General features: G+C 37.0%; 1 long non-coding RNA gene across 1 annotated transcript in view; it reads right to left on the bottom strand.

The window, feature by feature from the left end:
- Positions 1–6,125: 6,125 nt before the first annotated feature.
- Positions 6,126–17,389, bottom strand: part of LOC105376195 (uncharacterized) — a 30,633-nt gene continuing 19,369 nt past the window's right edge. The window contains exons 3-5 of the long non-coding RNA XR_930202.4: positions 15,684–15,744; positions 13,227–13,314; positions 6,126–6,951 (exon numbers count right to left, since the gene is read on the bottom strand). This is a non-coding gene — a long non-coding RNA (uncharacterized LOC105376195). The remainder of the gene's footprint in view (positions 6,952–13,226; positions 13,315–15,683; positions 15,745–17,389) is intronic.

Below are 17,389 nucleotides of genomic sequence, written 5' to 3'. Positions count from 1 at the left end.
AACACTTATAAAGTCATTGGGATGATATTCCATTGCTTAAAAACCTTAGTGAGTCCCTGTTCCCTTCAGATATGCTATACTTTTTAATAGTGTTCCATGGTTCTTGAATTTTTCTCGAGACAAAATCTCTCTCTGTTGCCCAGACTGGAGTGTAGTAGTGCGATCTTAGCTCACTGCAACCTCCGCCTCCTGGGTTCAAGCAATTCTCCTGCCTCAGTCTCCCAAGTAGCTGGGATTACAGGCCCCCGCCACCATGTCTAGCTAATTTTTGTATTTTTAGTAGCGACAGGGTTTTATCACGTTGGCCAGGATGGTCTCGAACTCCTGACCTCAAGTGATCCTCTTGCTTCAGCCTCCCAAAGTGCTGGGATTATAGGCATGAGCCACTGTTGAATGTTTTATTCTGTATTTCTTTTCCATTCCTTTTTTTCTCCTTGTGTTTCAGTTTGGGAAGTTTCTTGTGACCTATTTTCAAATTCAGATTCTTTCCTTGTCTATATTGAGTCTAATGATGAGCCTATGTGAGTCAATCTTCATTTTTTTAGCATTTATTTTCAATTTTTTCTTTATGGTTTCCATGTCTCTGTTGACATCATTCATTTTCCCCTTAGATGTGACACTCATTTTTGCACAGTAGACAAATGTTTACAAAATTTTTTTGTCCCTTCTTGCTTCACATTACAAACTGTAGTTATAATCGAATTATTTCAAGTTACCTGAAAAAAAATGCTTTCTAATTCCAGGTTTAATGAAATTTTTATATTTCAAAATCAAGCTCAAATATTACTCTGTGATGACTTCCTGGTCTGATTTTATGAGTCCTTGGCATAATTGGTGGCTTCTTCTTATGCTTGACCAAAATACTTTCTATATACCTTTGTATGCACATTATACGCTATTATATCTATTGCTATTATATTATATTGTTATAAGTTTTATATTATACCATTATATCTATTGTTAGATGTCTATCTCTTTTATAAGACTATAACATCCTAAAGAATATGGAAGACATTTTACCCATATTTATAATTCCAGGCACATACTAAGTGCTCAACATTTTACATGAATATTCTGTTTTATTCCTAAAAGCATGTGAGAAACTTAGGAGAAAACACAAGCAATAAAACAGTGGTAAATTAAAAATAGAAATACAGAATCTGAAAAAGTAGAAAGGCATATAAAATTTAAAACTTGAAATCCTGTAAAATAAATGCCCAAATATACAGACAATTTAAAGACACAACTGAGCTTCAAATTTCTGAGCTTCCTAGAAGACAAAAAAGTAAAATGAGACACATGGTATTTTAGGTAGCTGTTGCCAAAGCATTGAAGTATAACAGCATTGAAAGAACCATAACATATTGGTGGCTCATGCTATTTACTTATTATGCATCTGTGGGTGAGCTTAAGCAATTCTGTTAACCTCAGCTGAGCTAAAATCTATGTTTTGACTGGGTTTTAGCTGATCTGAACTGTAGTGTCTGTTATTTTCTGTTTCAAGTTGCAGGTGTGAAACAGAAAATACTCCAGCATCTCTCAGCCTCCTTGGATATGTAGGCTAAGCCAGATCATGTTCTCATGGCAATGCAAGGGTCAAACAGCCAGGCCCAATATCACAGGTACTTGTAAGCCTTTGGTTCTGCCATGTTTACTAACATTCCATTGCTTGAGTAAATCATATGGTCAGACCCAATGTCAAGAGACAGAGAAACTGTCTACTTCCATGGAGGTGGCACTGAAAAGGCCATAAAAATTTCTGAATCATAATCTAATTATATATGAGAAATTATTGTTTGCTTAAGTGGAAGGGGTATTATTTTGTAAGGGAAAATAAAACTTTACTCAGTCCCATATGCCAAGAAATATTTCTCAAATGCTATTTTATATGCGTGGTTCTTAGGGATACAATGGACATATCACTGACAATGTTTCCTAAGTCTACTGGTTTTAAATTCATATCGCTATTTCTTGAGGTTAACCTAATTCAAACAGGTGCTTATATTGTGGTTATTGTCTCACATGCATTGTTGAATTAGATTTCCATGGCCATGTCAGAAATGGAAGACAATATCTTTATATCCATTTTTTAGATGAGAAAACATTACTCAGTGATATTAAGCAATTTTCCCAGTACTAAAGATTCCCAGTACTAAATGATATAACTTAAATATCATCAACTATATCACAATGTTGTTAATTCCAAGATAACATGTCATCTTTCAAAGGCCTAGACCACATTAACTCTAAAATTGATAACAATAGTGTTAATAGGAGCTACAGTCATACACAAGGTTTCTAGATGTGTGCAGTATTAACAGGGCTTGTCACTAGCTGTTTTTGTTTTACCCTCATCAAATTTCACAATCATGTCTAGATTTATTTTTTGCACGTAGCTATATAGTTGTCACAGCACTATTTGTTGAAAAGATTACTTTCTCTGTCGAATTCTCTTTCCTCTTTTGTCAAAGATCAGTTGGCTATATTTGTGTTAATCTATTTCTGGGCTCCTTATGTTCCATTGATATGTCCAGCTTTTTTCACCCAAACCATGCAGTATTGATTATTGTAGCTTTATAGTAATTCATGTGGTATAGTTCTCCCATTTTGTTCTTTTCCTCTTCAGTATCATATTGACTATTCTGGATCTTTCCTCTATTGATCCTATACACAATTTTATTAGATTTATTCCTAAGTGCTTCTTGTTTGAGTGCTGATATAAATGGTATTGTGTTTTTAATTTCAAATTTAAATTTTCCATTGTTGGTATGTAAAAAAGCAATTTTATGTATCCTGCAGCTCTGTTTTAATTGCTTATTAGTTACAGGATTTATTGTTGATTCATTGGGATTTTCTACATAGGCAATCATGTCACTTGCAAAAACAAACAAATGAAAACAGTATTATTCTTTCTAATCTGTATACCTTTTATTTTGTTTTCTTGTCTTATTACCTTAGTTAGGACTTAGCATATGGTGTTGAATAGGAGTAGTGAAAGGGACATCCTTGCCTTGTTTCCAATCTTGGAGGAACAGGGTCTAGTTTCTCATGATCAAAAATGATATTATTTTTAAGTGTTTTGTAGGTGTTCTTTGTAAAGTTTTAGAAATTCCCCTCTCTTTCTAGTTTGAGAGTTTTAAAATCATGAATCATTGCTGGATTTTGTCAAATGCTTTCTCTGCATCAATTGATATGATCAACTGATTTTTCTTCTTTGTTAACATGGCAAGTTAGATTAATTAATTTTCAAATGTTGAACCAGACTTTGGGGAACTTGGAATTAACTCTACTTGGTCATAGTTTTAATTCTTTCTATACATTGCTAAATTCCACTTGCTTAGTTCCATAGATCTCTTAAGTAAAACTCATTAGTTCCAAATTCAGAATGACCCGCAACCCTGGTACCAGAGATTATATGTAGCAAAGACAAATAAATAAATTACTCAATATAGCTTTCTTGAATAAAAATTAGATTATAATTGAATTAAAGTTAGACCTAAAAACACTTTGAACTTCTAAGACAAACCAGTAGATCAGCAATGGGTTTAATTAAACATATTTTTAGTTTTCCATGGACTGATTGATACTTTGTTCGAGAATAGGGGTTTAGAAGTTACTAGTTAAAAAGCTTATGATCCCCATTTACTGATGGGGATTTTTTTCTTCTTAAGACGTACTGTCTTGAGCCCTGAAAAATCTGTAAATAGCTTTTCTCTTCTTCTACTGGTATACTGAATTGCCAATCTCACTTAGTGTGGCTCTCAATAAAAACCCCAGATATATCCTCTCTTTATGTAAAAGTTAAACAAGTGGTGATTTTTCTCAAGTGAGATGCTTGTTTTAGCCTCAGAAAGGCAAAAGTCAGGAACCTGTAGATATGTTGTTGAATATCTTTTAGAAGACATTTCTGACAAAGAGGCCAAGAATATTAGTCTGGGTCTCTAGGGGAAAGAGCTGGTCCATTTAAGACTTACCTAAAGAGAAATGAATGAAGGGTCTATTTACAAAGTCATGGGCATGATTTAGGGAATCAATAAAGGTTGGTGAAGCTCCCAGGGACAGCAACAGCTGGAGTTCTTAGAGCTGAATACCCTCAGAGCTAAAATGGGCAAAGGCCCTCATGGTGTTACCAGAACCCAGTGAGAGCTGCAGTTGTGGAAGAGAGGCTTCTCAACCACTGGTTAAGAAAGGATGATATAGATAAAAATGCAGTCCTCTGAATTTCCACCCTTTAAGTTGTGTGTATGAGTTTTCTTTTGCTGCTGAAACAAATTAGTACAAACTAAGTAGCTTAAAGCAACACAATATTTTTATGTTACAGTTCTGTAATGATAAAATAAGCACCTTGATTTTAACCTGGTTCAACCATGTCAGACTTCTGTAAGAAATGTAGGGCTACATTTCCTTTTGGAGGCTCAAGCTGGGGAGTCCATTTTCTGACTTTACCAGCTACTAGAGGGGACCTGCATTTCTTGGCTTGTGGCCCCTTCCTCCGTCTTCAAAAGCCAGAGTGCAGGCTGAGTTCTTTTACCATTGCATTACTCTGACTGCCTCTTCTGCCTCCTCCTCTATTCTTAAAAAAAACTTGTGACTACACTGAGCTCATTTGGATAATCCAAGACAATCTCCTTATCTTAATATCAGCTGATTAGCAACCTTAATTCCATCTGCAACTTTAATTCTTCTTTTTCATGTAACCTAACATTTCATAGGTTCCAGAGATTAGGATGTGGATATTTTTGGAAACTGTTATTCTGCCTATCACACTGTTGATGTTCAAAACTCTCTCTAAGATAAATGCTTATATTCTCATGATCACTTATAATTCTTATTTCCTTTCTTTACTAAATTTTTTTCTTGTTCTATGACGCTTGCAATGGTATTTCCTTACCCTTGTGCTAAGAAAAATACAAAACAGGAACCCTTTCTTTAAATGTCATTCCACCTTAAAATAAACTTGAAAAGGAAATAATTGTCTATGTTAGAAATTTTTCAGAGGATATATTAGACATTTCTAATCTCATTCTGTTGGTTGTTCAACTACTGTAGTTTCTCAATGGGCATTGATTACTTCACTGTACCTGGTGCCCAACCTTCCTTCATAAACATTGGTCCTGTATTTATCTCCTCGTTATGCTGCTTTATTCTCTTTTCCCTTCTCCTCACTCCCAGTTGCATTACATATTCCTCTCACTTGTTCATGCAGACACTTGACTGTCTCTTCTGTTGCCTGTTGGTGTATTTTTCTAAAAGGAATTGTGGTGAAAGCTAGTATAATACATTTCTCTTCATTTGATAGGGTATGGATCTGTAGTGCCCACTGAAATCTCATATTGAAATGCAATCCCCAAAGTTGGACATGGGGCCTGGTGGGAGGTGATTGGATCATGGGGGCAGTTTCTCATGAATGGTTTAGTACCATCCCGCTTGGCACTGTTGTCACAATAGTGAGTGAGTGAGTTATCACAAGATCTGGTTGTTTAAAAGTGTGTAGCACCTCCCTCATCTCACTCTGCCTCCTGCTCTGGCTATGTGATGTGTCTGGTGTCTGCTCCCCCTTAGCCTTCCTCCATGACTGTAAGTTTTCTGAGGCCTTTGCAGAAGCCAGGGAGGTGCCACTATGTTTTTGTACAGCAGAACTGTGAGCCAATGTAACCTCTTTTCTTTATAAATCACCCAGTCTCAGGTATTTCTTTATTGCAGTATGAGAATGGACTGATGTACCATTGATAGCAAACACTTCATCAAATCCTGTTTATGCCTTTCTTTCACAAGTGGTCAACTCCCTTCCTGTATCTCTTTGATCTGAAGGATCTATTTTATTTGAAGCAATAAAAGAGTAAAATAAGAGCTTTATTATAGTTAACATCTGTGGTGAGATTTGTTTATCTCAATAAAATGTTTCAATTCAGTGTAAATGACATCACAAGAACATTTTCTGAGGCAAACATTGTGGTGTGGCTACTCGACCTCAACTTCCTTCTTGCTGTCCCTCCCTTAAATATCTGGAAATCTAGATATTTCCTCAGTCTTCCTGACAGCTGGGATGTCTGAAAACATAATTCCAACCAAAAAGATGCTGTATTAGTTTGCTAGGACTGTCGTAACAAAATACCACAGACAGGTTGCTTAAATGACAGAAATTTATTTTCTCATAGTTCTGGAGGCTGGACGTCCAAAATCAAGGTGTCAGTAGAGTTGGTTTTATTTTGTTTTATTTTGAAGTCTCTCTCCTTAACTTGCAGAAGGCTGCCTTCTACCTGCATCCCCTCATAGTCTTTCCTCTGTGTGTGAATATCTCTGGTGTCTTGTGTACGTGTCCAAATTTCCCTCTTTTTAAAGAATACAGCTCAGATTGAATGAAGGCCCACCCAGATGACTTTATTTAACCATAATTACCTCTTTATTGCCTCTATCTTCAAATAGAGTTACATTCTGAGGTACTGGGGGTTAGGGTTTTAACCTGTTACTTTTAAGAGGACACAATTCACCTTATAACAGATGCTAAGCATAAGTCTGTGAGAGTAGCCTCCAGAAAACTAAATTCTTTTTTTGAGATGAAGTTTTGCTCTTTTTGCCCCCGCTGGAGTGCAGTGTCACAGTCTCAGCTCACTGCAACCTCTGCCTCCTGGGTTCAAGTGATTTCCTACCTCAGCCTCCCAAGTAGCTGGGATTACAGGCATGCGCCACCATGCCTGGCTAATTTTTGTATTTTTAGTAGAGACAGGGGTTTCACCATGTTGATCAGGCTGGTCTCGAACTCCTGATCTCAGGTGATCCACCCGCCTCGGCCTCCCAAAGTTCTGGGATTACAGGCCTGAGCCACCGCGCCAGGCCAGAAAACTAAATTGTTACTAAGATGGATAGACATGGTTGCTATGACCTCTCTTCTCTCTTTTCCTGATTGAATAAAGATGTGACGGATGGAGGTAGCACAGTCATCATGTGATCCTGAAATAAAGACACAGTGAGCCAAAGATATGTCAGAACTTACATCATAGAGTCCAAAATTAATATCAGTAGCCATACACCTCCAGACTTCTTGTTATATTAAATGAATAAACTGATTCATGTAAGGCTTTTGAGCACAGCATTTTATTATTTGCTGCTGGATAGAATCTCACCTAATTAATTTTTGTGTCAAGGATGTTGTGAATCTTAATTATTAAGTTTTGATTATTAGCAGAAATGAAGACATTGTTCCCCTTTAAATCAGGATCCCATCAGGAAACAGAAATCATCCCAAAGAGAATGTAATGAAAGAGTTACATATACTAGGGAGGGATAAGGGGAGAAATAGGGATGGTGAGCCACCCAGAGATGAGAAGTGGAAGAAAACAATATCACCCTAAAATCAAATGGACAAGGGAAGAAAAATGAATTATCTCACCCCAGTGGGAGCCGAACCTATTGAGAAGTGGCTGCAGGTGGAGCCTATAGACATAGAGAGTCACAGCTACAGCCAGAGGCATGGCAAGGAAACAGAAAAGGAGCAGATAAGAAAACCTATATTCTCTGGCTTCCTCCCTTTGGATTGTCTGCCTGCCTGTGCCTCCAGCGTCCAAACCAACTGGAAGATTTTGGTCAGGGAAGCCTGGTAGATGGAGTCCATCAATGTCAGACTCCCAGGGAAAGTGCAGAGGAGGGAAAGGCAGAGAATGAACCTTGGAGAAGTATAGGGGAAATGCAAAACAATCAGCACAATGTCCCAGAAAACTTTAGCCTCATTTTGACCATTTTTCATTTCCGTTACTATTTGGCATAATACAGGCCAGTAGCTCTTCTCTGATATCAAATATCCATCCTTTAACTTGAAATGCACAAACCTATAAATTAAATTTAGCTATCCTTGGGAAATAGATTTGACTAAAGGCCTATGAGTGAAGTATCTGTGATAATACAAATTGAGAAACTGCAGCTTATAATCAGTTGTCATCCATCAGAGTATTAAAATATGAATTCATAGCTGCATCCTAGGTATACCTTCGTTTTAATCCAATAATGATGCAAAACTGCTGCTTGAAAGCAATTAGAAAGGGTGAGAGTCTCAGTTTCTTTACCAGTAAAATAAATGGAACTGATCTCATCAATTGTATTACAGGGCTCTAAGAATAAGACAAAATATCAGTCAGAAAATAGATTATTTTAGACTAGAAATTACTCATCATTCTTATAATGAATATGGTAATTAAGTTAGAGTAAAGACTATATGTTGATGATAGTCAAATTTATGAAATATCTTCCATATGTAAGACAAATCCCCTCCCTCCCTCCCTCCCTCCCTCCCTTCCTGCCGTCCTTCCGTCCTTCCTTCTTCTCTCTTACCTGTTTCTTGCCTTCCTGCCTCTCTTCCTTCCTGCCTTCTAGCCTTCAACATTTTCTGGCTTTGTGTTAGTTATTGGAAATAAAAAAGAACTATGGTATTACAAGTAGAGGCACACAACTTAAGTTTAGGGCAGGAAAGTATTCTAGAAGGATGTGGAACCTGTTCTGAAATTTGAAGATCATACACAAGCTAGCTGTGGGAAGAAATAGTGGGGGAAGTATATACAAACCAAGAGAAAAGACAATGAAGGCAGGGTGTTTTTGCTTTAAAAATACTGGAAATATGTAAGTATGCAAAAAAAATACATAGAGTGGAGGATGGGGGCAATCAAGGGTGGAGGAATCTAGGCCTAGAAGGGATTTGTCTAACTCGCTAGAGTGTGAATTTGAAACTAAATGCCTAAGCGTCACTGTATGATTTGCCAAACTAGGAAACTTTGAAGATTGAGAGTTGGTGCTACTAATAATTACTCTGGGAGAAAAGGTATAAACTGAGAGTGTCCAGGCCAACCGGGATTTATATTTACTTTCAGAATTAGAGACACATTGGCTGGGCACGGTGGCTCACACCTGTAATCCCAGCACTTTGGGAGGCCAAGGTGGGTGGATCACGAAGTCAGGAGATCGAGACCATCCTGGCTAACATGGTGAAACACTGTCTCTAATAAAAATACAAAAAATTAGCCAGGTGTGGTGGGGGGCGCCTGTAGTCCCAGCAGCTCAGGAGGCTGAGGCAGGAGAATGGCATGAACCCGGGAGGTGGAGCTTGCAGTGGGCCGAGATGGTGCCACTGCACTCCAGCTGGGCGACAGAGCGAGCCTCCGTCTCAAAAAAAAAAAAAAAAAAAAGTTAGAGACCCATTACAGTATTTTAAGGAGAGATGTGGCACGATACGAATTGCCCTTTAGGGGAAACAAATTTGAATCCTATTAGAATAATCAACTGGACAGATACGGACACCCTGGGCCAAGGCAGCAGCAGCAGGGTTGGATACAAAGGACTAGATTTGTAAAATATAAAGCAAGTAGTATTAACAGGACTGGACCTGGAGAGTGAGAAAGTGTCGATATCTCCTAGGTCACTTGTGCAAGACAGTAGTCCCAAATTCTTCAATAATAAAAACAATTTTTTGATACCCACATCCATTTTAACTAGACAGATTTAAAAATTATAAAATCAGATCATTTTCTTGCTTACACTTGCTTAAAATTGCTTTTCGAATAAAACTCAACCTCTATATGGCTCAGAGGCTCTGCACCATCTGATGACTGCCTGTCAGCTAACCTTGGCACCATCCTCCCCTTGTTCACTCAGCTCCAGGCACACTAGCCTCAGTTTTGCGTCTGAAATCCTCCAAGTTCTTTCCAACTTTGGAAAGTTTTTATCTACTCTTCTTTGTGCCTGGACTCCCTCCAGGTGTTACTTCACAGACCTGGTTCATTCCTTGTCTCAGGTCTCCATCCGGCACCCACCCTATGGAGACGTCATTAATAAACGTCCATCCACAGTAAACAGCCCAGACTTTCCACCTGGCACTAGGTTTATTTCAATGAATGACTTTTATGAGTGAAAATAGAAGTGAGCAAATTTGGAATTGTTGATAAATGGATGGTGCACTATCTATTCCTCACACAGCACCCGACTAATCCTCAAAATATAAGGAATTTATCTCCAAAGTCTTCCATTTGCAATTAAAATAAAAGAAAAAAACCTCACTTTGGCCTTCATAGCCTTCCATAATCTGGCCCCGCTTCTTCTCAGACCTCATGTCCTATAATTCTTGCCATCACTCAGTCTTCTCCAGACCCTTTGACTTGCTGTTCATCAAATACTCCAAACACACTCTTACCTCAGGGATTTTGCACTTGTTCATCCTGCCTGGGATGTTCTTTGCCCACTTACTATATGGTTTACTTTCTCCCATCATGCAGGTCTCTGTGCAAATGCCATTCTCTCCAGGAGGCTTTTCTAGACCAGGCTATTCATACTTACTCCTAACCAGACTTTATTATTTTACAGCACTTACCATCTGATGTTGTATAGATATGTGTTTATTATCCCCTAAAGGGTTGTAAACTCTATTAATGAGGGAAAGTTGTCTGTCTTGTTTCTTGTTCATTACTCAGTGATTATAACACTGGATGGCACATAGTAGGTGACTAATGAATATTTGTTGAACAAATAAGCAAACAAATAGGCTGACCCATGGATTCTCCATACATAGTCTTCCTAGGCTAGCCTTCGATCGGAAGAAGTTTCAAATTTATGTAAAGGGTTTTATAGCTAGATTCACTAGCCTTCCTTCAGACAGGTGACTTAGTCGTATCAGTCCTGTTTAAAGAAAATCAAGCGAGTCTCTGAGAGTGAACTTACTTATTGAAGGTCACATATCTTGTTATTGTCAGAGCCGGTAAGAAACCTCGGTTTTGGCCTGGGCATGGTGGCTCACACCTGTAATCCCAACACGTTGGGAAGCCAAGGTGGGTGAATCACTAGAGGCCAGGAGTTAGAGACCAGTTGGGCCAACATGGTAAAACCCTGCCTCTACGAAAAATACAAAAATTAGCTGGGTGTGGTGGTACATGCCTGTAATCCCAGCTACTTGAGAGGCTGAGACACAAAAATAGTTTGAACCTGAGAGGTGGAGGTTGCAGTGAACCAAGATCATGCTACTGTACTCCAGCCTGGGCAACAGAGTAAGATTCTGTCTCAGAAAAAAAAAAAAGAAAAGAAAGAAAGAAAAAGAAATAAAAGAAATTTCAGTTTCCTGTATTTTTGCAGAAAAAAAACCACACTCTCATTATAGTGCATTGTCTATATGCAAATCTGTGTTAAGTGCTTTATTCAGTTAAACCATGCTGTGGATAATTATGTAGCTAAGAGAGGTAATTAGCCCAAGCTCACACAGCTAGTAAGTGACAGAGTTGGAATTTGGTAGCAGTGTCTACTGGCTTCTCAGCCTTGTGATGTACAAGGTAGCATCTATTGTAATGGGTACTTGGCCCCAAAAATACTTGGTACTATTATCCGTCTTAGTGACAGCTTCTGAGTCCGATTTTTGAAATCTAGCATAAAGTTAATATATAATCCCCAAAATGTAGTGATGAAATAATGATCATGTGAGGGAAGTGGTGAGTGTTGGATTCTACAAGAAAGGAAGATCAGAATAGCTTCCTGAAGTGCATATGCATTTTCTTATTCAAATCCTATAAATACTCTAATAATCAGGCTATTATATTAATAAACCTTAAATAATTGGTTCATTTATTCAACAAATGTTTACTGTGCATTTCAGGTGCATGTCATAGTTTTACGCAAATGTGAGAAGCACAGAGGAATCTAGACAATCTTTTTTCTCTAGGAGTTTCTGATCTAATTGGGAAGACAGACCATACACAGGCCAAATTTAAATATGCATTTGTGATAACAAAGAGGAGACTTCCAAGAATACATATGAATACCCATTGCAAGTATCCATTGCAACAGGTGCTCACTTGGACTTCACAAGGCTGAGAAGCTGGTAGACCTGTTACTAAAAAACTTACTAGATGTGTGAACTTGGGCTAGTTACTTTACCTCTCTTAGCTACATCCATTTACATTTTAATTAAATGGATTTGGTTAAATTCATTTACATTTTTTTCTATACTAAGCCTTCTTATAGAACATCACCTAGGTACCACCTGGACTGATTTGAAACTTATATTTGCTCCACTCTTTAGCTTATCTGTTAGGTGGCCACATGCATGGGACAATTAATGAACAAAAACAAAGTAAGGAAAAGGTTGAATAACCGGTAAGCCATTTTTTTCATTTATTCAAATACCTACGGATTGTCAGGACCAAACTGTATGTTGAGAATACAGGGAAGATAAAACAGACATTGTCCTTGCCATGAAGGAATCACAGTCAAGTAGAGGATAGAGTCATAAACTCTAGTGCTCCCAACTCTTATACGTGTTGATATAAAAATCAGAAAGGGGGATGGAAGTGCAATAAAACACGTGACTGTGCTGGCTTCAAACTGTTGGAGTTTGTAACTTAGCACTACCACTTACAACCTATGTGGTGCTGAGCACACTTCTTGTATAGATGAATTTCAGTTTTTTCATCTGTAAAATGGTAACAATAGTTCCTGCTTCCTAGGGTTATTTTAACTATTCATTGAATTAAATTGTGCAAAGCTCTTGGCAATAAAATATTCTCATTAGATATTCTTCTTGCAGATTTCTGAAATGTTTTTCTACAAGATGTTGTCTCTGTCTGAGATGACTCTAGGAAGAGTAAGGAACATCATGAAAGGGAAGTCATCATGAAAGAGATGCTCAGGGAAATATAAGCATTTTGATAGCCTACACCTCTGATCCTCTGCTTAAATGTGGTGGTGTTACTTGGGAGAGAGATGAGGTTGGAAGACAGACAAGGCCAGATAACGCACAGGCCTGTATGACACACAAAGAGATTTGGACTTGATCCAAAATATAGTATAGAAAAGGAGAAGTTTAATCAGAGAAGTCACATGGTCAAATTAGACTTGGACAGTAGTGCAGAAATACATCAGACCAGGGAGAAACTAGCAGCCAGAAAGGCAGTTAAAAAATAGTTGTAATAGTTTAGTTAATAGATGGTAATGCCCTGAAGGCTCTAGCCCTGGAAGTAGAAAGAAAGGTGTGATACTAAGAGATTTTAGAAGGTAAAATAAGTAGGATTTAGTGATTTATTGAGTTTTTGGAATGATTAAGGAGAAAAAGTCTAGGGTGAATCCCCAAAATATCTACAAAATAAAAAAATTATTCGTCCAGATAAGTTAAATGATGGTTATTCCAATTATTGCTGCAATTTGTTTCCACCGTACTTACCTCTTGGGTGAATAACAGTTTTTCTCACTGATCAAGCACTTACCTGATTGAACATAGGCAAGCATATTATTGATTCATAAAAGGCCATAATTAATTCTGTGTGTAACTCTTCATGAAAACTAGTGCTTTTGCTACAAAAATGAAACAAAATCATCAATTATTATAATACAGAAAGAGCTTTAAGAGAGATCTGTGTATTTAGAAGAGATCTGTGCCTCAAGAATGAGCTTCAAGTTTATTTCTAATTCTAGAGTTTCAAAGCTCTGCAGGCTGTTCAGGAGTGGATTTCATTCCCAGTACAACCAGCATTCTGGAATTTAATCAGACAATTTTATTAATTCTATATAGGAAAGGTTTCTCCTCTATGGTGACAGTTGTTATATGCATTTTGATATGGACTACCAAAAAAAAAAACCAACATATAGTGTTTTCAGCTTTTTATTGCTTTGAAAACCTTAACTTCGTTCTGGGAAAGCCTAAAATAATAAAAGGGAAGTGGTATTTTGTAATTATGGATTGGGGAATTTTAAATCTACTGAGCTAGTCTTCTTCCACTCCTCCATGTTCCACTGTTTAGAAGTCTTCTCATATACCGCATTTACTCATCTAAGGAGACAATTATTTAGAGCCAGTGAGCATTTCTTTGTGGATTAGGAATGAAGAGTAAGTTGTCTCACTTTATTAGGCGTTGCAAAATAGGATGAGATGTTATTTTTTTCAAAGTCCATTTTAATTTTTCTTCTCTTTGCTAAATATGATTTACATGGCTTAAGCTTCTTTATACATATGACTATTGGATGTTAAGTGAAGGCATGTATTATTATTATTATTTTAAATACAAGCCTTTATTCACATAGATCAGCTTTGTAGCTTTTGTAAATTTAAAAACAAAAAGGATAAATAAGGCACCATACTTTTAAAAACGAAAACTGCTTGGCTCCAAGTTTAAAACCCAAGGAACAACCAGAATATAGCATATAATTTTCCCTTAGCCTCAGAGAAGGACTCTGCAAGTTCCCTTTTCCATCTGAGATACATTTTCTGACATCTCAAATTACAGTGTTCCCCATTAACTGTAAACTTGAAGGGGTTGATAAGCTTAGAAAAGCAGATTTAGTTAATGCAAAATAAAAGTTGACTTCTATAGAACAGTTTTACGCTTGGCTCCCATCTTTCCAATCATTTTGCATCCAGCTGCCTCCATTTGCTGTGCGAAGGGTCCAGTTTTGGAAGGCATGTATTATTTAAACAGCATATTGTGTGCCAAGATACCAGTGCTGACCAGATGCATCTGGAATTTCCCTGATACTAGTTAACAATTACCAAATGTTAAAATTATCACAAGAAAAATAATGCTGATATCTGACAGTGCCATAGAAAGAAACAGCAAAACCTTTTTCAGTCTCTTTAGAGCAACCTAACTACATATTATGAGATATGATTTGTTATGTTGCAATAAGGCTGAATCAAGAGATGATTAATGAAGAATTTATGAAATATTCAAGGGTTTATGATACATACATTTTGGGTAAAATGTTTACTTCTTTGAGCAGAGCTTAAGCTTTCACAATTTCTATTCCATTTCCTACCGCAAAGGAACAATTTAAGGGAAATACTCCAAAATATTAATCCTGAAGTTTTATATATTTAAGAAGCTTAAAATTTTAGAGTTTGGATTTGAATCAATGTTTTCAGTCTACATTTCAATCTTCTGCTACAAGAATAACCATAAACAGTCATTAGTGTATGTGATTATTATTATGTATTATTTACATATTATGTATCTCATGGCTAGATTGTTCTTCATTTGACTAAAGTGATAAAAATTCCATCAAGGCCAAGCACCCATTTTTTTGTGTGTTATATGCTTCTTTGGTGGATCATTAAATTCTTTGACTCATAAGCAAACTTCAGCAGGCTACTGAGTTGCTTCATGTGTTTTTGCTTTGGGATTCTAGTCCTCTACAGATGCCAATACAGCTCACTCATAAGGGTACCCAAAGCACAACTTTTGGTCTGCAAAATGCTCTGAGATTGCAAGAGAAAGAAGATCATTACAAATAATAACTCAGAAGGAAAATAACACACTAAAATGAACAAAGAATAAGAGCTTATAGGTGTATGTGAGATAAAGCCTTCCTAAATAGAAAAACTACATTGTAAATTATATAATAACCTCCAGTGTTGTGGTGTAGGTGAAAATTATTTCTTAATACAACTAGTTTTTGCTAAGACTCTCCATCATGTAATAAATAATGAACAACCATTTTGATTCTTATTTATGGTTATATGAGATAGGGAAGGGATGAATAGAAATTGCTTCAGCTCATAATGGTTTACAACTATTAAATTTTTTATTTTGGACTGTAACTTTCACCTAGAGAAAATATAAGGAAGGGCATCATGACATGGCTAAAGGTACAGTTATTTTAAAATAGCAGTCCCAAGGTGTAAAAGCACAGTTACTTTATCACGAGAGAATATGTATGACAGACATTACCTCATCTCTGAACTTTGCCCAGTTCCTTGTTCTTTTTCTCAATTGTGGTCACTCTTAAACTCTGGGGATGAAGGAAAACCTATGGTGAGGTTGAGGGATGAAAACGTTGTCTGTATTGTACACCCTCTAATAATTATGAAAATATAAAACTGTTACTGTTTATAGACTTCTTAGAACCATATTTGGCAGAACTTTAATACAATACGTAGATGGGTGAGAAGATTTTCTAAGCACATGACTACAAAAATAAAGTAGAGAAGTAAATTAATCAATGTGACTTCATAAAAAATTTTTAAATTACCCCAAATTTAGAAATAAGCTCCAAAACTTCAATACCAAAAAACCTATCTGAAGGGCAACTTCGCCAGGAAAAATAGTCACAAATTAAAAGTTGATGTTTTTAATAAATCAAGGGCTATCATGTATCAGTAAAAATACAGAATGCAGAATAAATAATAGTGATAAGTCATCACTGTTATATGCCCTTTAGACTGGCAAACATTGGAATGCTGGCTAATGCCAAGTGTTGGAATAGAAGTGAGGATGTAGGAAGACTTAGGCACTGGTAGTGAAAACTTTGATTGCCGAAGACATTCTTTGGAGAAACCTGGCAGTATTGAGTGCAATTCTCTCTCTATATATATACCCTACAATCCAGCAATTTCAGTCCTGGATAAATATCACAAACTAATACACAGATCTATAAAGGGACAAGTTCAAGATGTTCATGGCAATGTCACTGGGATAGGTAGAAGAGGAAGCAGGCTAAAGAAGTGGGTAACATGGAGGGTACAAATCACTGGGTTGTAGCCAGCAGTGAGAAGCAGTAGACTTGGTGGACACAAAAGAACATGGATAGATCTTTTTTTTTTTTTTCCTTTTTTTGAGATGGAATCTTACCCTGTCAGCCAGGCTGGAGTGCAGTGGCTCGATCTTGGCTCACTAAAACCTCCACCTCCCAGGTTCAAGTGTTCTCCCATCTCAGCCTCCTGAGGAGCTGGGATCACAGGCACATGCCGTCACACCCAGCTAATTTTTGTATTTTTAGTAGAGATGGGGTTTCACCATGTTGGTCAGGCTGGTCTCAAACTCCTGACCTCAAACGATCCGCCCATCTCGGCCTCCCAAAGTGCTGGGATTACAGGCGTGAGCCACTGCATCTGGCCAGATAGATCTTAAAAGGAGAGACTTGGGTTGAATGTACATGTGTACATATATATCTATATTGTGTGTGTGTGTGTGTGTGTGTCTGTATACATATACACAATGCTGGGGCCTTGTGCAACCACTGATGACATTGTGTCTCCAGCTGAAAAATACGATTAGCTCAAACTTCTGCAACTTGAAGTCTGGAAAAAAACTACAAATAATGAGGAAGAGGAGACTAGGCTAGATGACAGCATGAGAGAAATCTCTGGAGGGATGGAAATATTCTGTATCTTGTTTTGTGTAATGGTTACACAGTGTATACCTTTGTCAAAAGACAACAAACTGAAGACCTAAGATCTGTGGTATTGTAGTCTGTTAATGAGATGTCAATGAAAATATATACACATTTGTATATATACATACATGTAATAAATGTAATAGAAGGGAACTTATAATACTATATTATAGATACATATATCACAAAACTATAACAACATTTTAACAAAATATATAAATATGTATTAAAATATATAAAAAGTTATATTAAACAAAATATA

This window comes from Homo sapiens, chromosome 9 (assembly GCF_000001405.40).
Source record: "Homo sapiens chromosome 9, GRCh38.p14 Primary Assembly".
Taxonomy (NCBI): domain Eukaryota; kingdom Metazoa; phylum Chordata; class Mammalia; order Primates; family Hominidae; genus Homo; species Homo sapiens.
This window is presented reverse-complemented; position numbering and strand designations above follow the sequence as displayed.